Genomic DNA, 5904 nt, shown 5'->3' on the forward strand with positions numbered 1-5904 from the left:
AACAAAGTTATTCTTCATATTATTACTATAGAAAAGAGGTTGTTTTTGAAGTAAAGAAATCTATCACAAAAGTAAACTCCACAGATTTAGAAACATGTAGTAAAACTTAAGCAATAGCTCTGGGCACTTATCCTTAACAAATTAACACAGGAAGAGAAAACCAAATACCACATGTCCTCACTTATAAGTGGAACCTAAATGATGAGAACATGTGGACACAGAGAGAGGAACAACACAACACACCCTGGGGCCTTTCAGAGGATGGGAGGGGAGGAGAGAGAAGATTGGGAAAAGTAATTAATGGATGCTAGGCTTGATACCTGGGTGATGAAATGGTCTGTACAACAAATTCCTATGCACAAGTTCACCTATGTAACAAACCTGCACTTGTACCCCTAAGGTAAAATAGAAGTTAAAAAGAAGATTTTGTTAGAAATTTCCTTGAGGATCATTTGGAACTCAAATATGCTTTCCTTAAAAACCCAACTTTCATAAAGCAAAATTGATTTATGTTGTAGATATATTATTTTAAAACATAGATAACAACTGCACTGAAAATTTAAATACTAATTAAATTCCAAAGCACAAAATGTAAAAAGGAAAAAAAATTAGTAACTCTATAGAGTGCTATACTTTTCTTTTATCAGAAGGTATTTTTTCCAAATTTGAAAGTCTGATATGTCTTTAAAATATTTCTGCTATTTATCTAGATGTTTTTCTTGTAAACAAAGTTTTATTTTATAACATGAGATAAATTCCTACTTCGGTCTTAAGCATCTAAAGCAAGGTTTGAGGTTACTAGTTTCTTTCAAATGGCATTTCAATAATTGGATACACTGATTAGTAGATTTTAAAAATATGCATCTAATAACATTTCAAAACATTTAGGTTTTAGGGTCAGAAGATTTAGGTCAAACAGATTGCTTTTGTAAAAGAACTAATTCTGGTTTTTGTTTTGGTTTCGAAAAATGGCATTTTAGATTGATTTAGTCATTTGTGAAAAGGTAATCAATTCAAAGTTTATTATTAAAGCATTAATCTCACCAGTCCCCCAACTGTTCATGGAGATGCACAGATGATCCCCAGAGTCATGGCCACCATCTGTCGTTTGGGTGAGACCAGCTAATCTGCCTAGTAGAGAGAATATGCAGACTCATAGTTATTAGGCCATTTCTAACCTGAATACACAAAAACTTAACTAGATGCTTTTTTTTTTCAAAAATAAGGAAATTCGTATTCTCTGAAAAATTGTTATTTCTCATCACTTTCTTTCCTTCGTGACTTTGACTTCCCATCTGCCATTCTTATTCTTTCATTTCTTATAACATTCCTACTCTCTACTCCCTCTTCTCGGTCTTAATTTGCTTAACCTCTGTAGCTGTTCTCTCTTTTTTTATTATTATTATACTTTAAGTTCTGGGGTACATGTGCAGAACGTGCAGTTTTGTTATGTAGGTATACACGTGCCATGGTGGTTTGCTGCACCCATCAACCCGTCACCTACATTAGGTATTTCAACTCATGCTATTCCTCCCCTAGCCCCCCACCCCCTGACAGGCCCTGGTGTGTGATATTCCCCTCCCTGTGTTCATGTGTTATCATTGTTAAACTCCCACTTATGAGTAAGAACATGAGGTGTTTGGTTTTCTGTTCACTAACTTTTCCTCTCTTCACTGACTCAGAGTTAGGAGTCAATATTCATGCACATTAAACAGGATCTATACTTTGCCTAAAATCAAATCCCTATTCATTACTTATCTATTGTGTGATGCTGGATAAGTAACTTCTGTAAGCTTCAATTTTTTAATCTACGTACAAGGAATACTAAAAATAATTAACTCATGAAGATCGGGAAGTGTTAAATGATGATAAACATGGAAAGTAGTCAGTGCAGTGAACACATACTCCATAAATATTAGTCATTATTCTATCTTATCCCCCTTTCTTTCTGAAATTCTCTCTTACCTCCTAGTTTCAAAACTTCCCTTCCTGGTTCATTCCATATTTAACTCTGGTAACTTCTATGTACACTTCCCACATAGTATGTCCCTTCAGCTATCTTATGACCCTGTGCCCATCTCTCTCTCTCTCTCTCTGTCAACCATTTTCATACCTGGCACATTCTCTCTGCTCTTGCTACCCTCCTCTTTTCTCCAGCTCCCTGTAGTGTTTTGACTCTTCCTTTGCCCCTCCAGCCTCTCCTGTCTAGTCCTTATGCACTGACTGGGGACATTCCCTTCTTTTCTCCAAACCACCTTTTTCTGCAATATTCAAGCTTTCTTCCTTCTCATTCCCCTCCCTTACACTCAATGTTTCCTTTCTTTTCACCAGTCCACCTGTCTGTTCCTCATAATTCTATTTTGTTTCCCTTTTACTTTCTTACTTGAATTTCTCACTTGGTTACTCTTGGTGGCCAACAGTAAAGATATGGAGAAGTCTGTTAAAAGATTTACATTTCCCAAAATCAATATTCCTTTTTAAAGCTGTCATCATATTCAGTTATGTAAAGCATCCCTCTTTTAGTTCTTAGGTTTTGTCTCATTGGGAGTGTTTTATATCTGCTTCTGAGACTCTCTCCTTTTAAAGCCACTCATGCTCTGAGAATGTTCGCCCATTATACTCATCTAAGAACTGCTGTATGTCGCTGACTTCTGTATCTTATGCCTTGAGTCCTCACTGTACTCCAGTTCCATTTTTGTTAAATTCCCACAGAGCTCTTCTATTGGTGATTCCAAGCCATCTCCAACTGAGCATGCCTGAGACTGAGCTCTTGATATTGATAGCCAAGCAAGGCTGCTTTATACACTTTCTGGTGTCTTTTCTTTTCTTGTTTCTTTGGTGAAATAGTTTTATTACTCTTTTTGATATCTTCCGCACTTCTCCTTTATAGCTAACATGAACCTATCTCCTGTTGTCTTATTCTCAGAAGATATTTTCTTGTCTTCCCATGGAAAACAATACATCTATCTCAATAAACTGTATCAAAAGCTGTATATTGTCCTACTATTTTTGTCAAGAACACAATTTATGCTATATTTATTGCTATTAAAACCTAAATTCTTGCCTTGAGTTTAACTTATTTTTTAATTATATTATTCCCTGGCATAAGTTACTTGTGACCCATACCCCCAACATTTCTTTCTCTCTTCCTGTCTTTTTCTCTCACATATGCCTTCTCAATTTCAAACTCTTCCCTTTAGTTCATTCTGTTTATTTCTTTATGGGTTACTTTTATTTTAAAAAACTTTTCTGCTAAGCAATAAAAGGGAATGAACTATTGACATATGCAATCAGATGGATGAATCTCAAAATAATTATGGTTACTGAAATAAACCAGAAAAAAAAGAGTATGTAGCTGTTGATATGAAAATTCTAGTTAATGCAGTCTAATTTGCAGTGATTAAAAATCAGATATATGGTTGCCTGTGAAGCTAGGAAGTGGGGTGTGGCGAGTGGTCGGAGCAGTGTGGGAATGGTGGGGACAGGGGAAAATAGACAGAGGAGGTAGGGAAGTTCCTGAAGATGAGAATATAAAGAGAAAAAGAATACAAAGAGGAAGAGAAAAAGAATACAAAGAGGAAGAGAAAAAGAATACAAACAGGAAGAGAGAAATTTTTTAATGTGTATATGGTTGTTACTGAGGTGATGTGTTCCAGGCCATATATATAATTAAAACGTACCAAATAATACGTTTTAAAATGTGCAGTTTATTATATGTTTATGATACATTAATAAAGCTTAAAAAAAAACCTCTTCTAAGGAGGCAAGAAGCAAACATTTAAGTTGCTTAAGTATTGTGCAAGCAGCAGGCCCTTGCTGCTAAACCAAACCATATTGCCTAAGCACCCAGTCAAAACTCCTCAGTCTAACTTTGAAGATATCTCTTAAACTGGCCCTAACTGACTTTTTTTTTCAAATTCACCACTCATTACTGTTTCACATTTTAATTCTCCTGCCAGCCTGGCAACTTGTTCCCAATATACCCTGTTGCTATCGCCATCTTTGTAAATATTATTCTAGCAATACACCCAGCAAGCTCTTTGGCCCCACTCCCTTCCACGATTATCTCAGCCCATGGTTGTCACTCTTTTTTCTCAGCTATCTTTGTACTTATGGTCTTTATCTTGTCTTTGAGTGTTAACACAGTGTTGAAAAATATTTTTGTGGACGATTTTCCTAATTTTTAATGCTGTTTTGATTTTCTGTTTATGCCATAGAGCTCAACTCAGTTAAATATGAAGTAAAATCAACCACTTAAAAAAGGGAAGCCCATGTATTGTGCTGTTGAATGATAATGAAATTTTGAAAATGTCCAAACTAACATTCCACCTTCCCATTTGCTCACCCCTGGGCCCAGGGTCAAAAACTCTCCTAGGAGTAGGCAAGTGTCCTCTTTAGGGGAGTTGTTTATTGTTCAAAGTGGACCTTATGTTTCGGCTTCTCCGGAATCATATCTAAGAAGTTCAGATATTCCTCTTCTCCATGCCAAGACAGCCTACAAATGGGAATTATACTGGGTGTCAGAGCATTCCCTTGACAGGCCCAGATGCAATGACAGCTCAGGTGTCCTCACAGGATCTCCTCCTCTATCTTTTCCACAGAAGAACTCATTTTATCATTGGTTTCTTTCTTCCGATACTGTTTTCTGGGGGGTGGTGGTGAAGGTCCCTTATTTCATGAATGCCATTTTTAGCTTTAGATTTATGATGTTTTTGTTCCAAAACAAATCTCTACTAATTCTAAAGTGTAGACACTATTTTCAAAAAGAGAAGACTTGAAAGAAATGTTCTCCCACAGAGGTTTTTTTTTCTCCTGTATTATTCCAAGCTACTTAATTATCTAATCACATTTAGAACTGTAGATATGTAAGTTAATCTTATACAACCTTGTATATTTAATGCATGTTACCTAAACTGTAATTTTCAGTTCTAAGTTAATTGTTTTATAGAAAATGGCTACATTCAGACTTTCCAAAATAGGCCTTTATGTTCATTAGGTCTCCTTGTTACATACCAGTTCCATAATTCTTAAAATAAAACTTTATTTCCTTGGCACTTGTATTGGGTAAAGACATTAGCCTTGGAAGGACTGGCTAATATTTATTGACCAATTCAATATATTTCTCAATATATTGAATTTACCTCAGAAAATAAAGTCAATGCTTTGTAAAATTGTATGAAATAATGATGTTATTGAATTATACTGACACTGAAGCAGAAGTAGCCAAATAATTATTTAAGGATATCACTGTACTCTTCCAGAACATGAAATGGTTGAGCATGTCATACAATGCAGGCACAAAGCTTCTTTCACTTTGGTTGTAATGTCTGCTATAAAATCAAATAAAGATAATATAAACACAGTAATGAAACTACTACTAATTGTGAAATCTTCCATCAAAGGCAATCTCAATTTTTGGCTTTTTAACCTATTTTTATATAATTACATTTTTAATGTAAAATATTAGCATTTCAAATGCAAAGTTATATGAAAAAATATGCCGTTTCATTCCTTTCGCTGTCCCTTCCCAACCCATTTTCACTCACACCGATGGGCAACTAATTAAATAGTTTCTCGTTAATCCATCCTGCATTTTCTGTTTGTTGGCTTGTTGTGTGTGCTTTTTAAAAATAAGTATATCTACATTTATATTTACTCTACCTGATTCTCCATATTTATTTATCCCTTATTTGTTCCTAATTTCTTCCAGAAAAGTTAGAATACTATATATATTCCTTGGTACCCAGATTTTTTTCACTTATTTTTTTTCCTGGGAAATTACTATGTATGTCCTCTTAGAGATATTTGTCATCTTTAAATTTTTGTTTGTTTGTTTGTTTGTTTTTACTAACTACATAGCATTCCTCTGTGTGGATATTCAGTAGTTAATTCAACCAATACCCT

The sequence above is a fragment of the Homo sapiens genome, chromosome 6 (assembly GCF_000001405.40).
Source record: "Homo sapiens chromosome 6, GRCh38.p14 Primary Assembly".
NCBI lineage: Eukaryota > Metazoa > Chordata > Mammalia > Primates > Hominidae > Homo > Homo sapiens.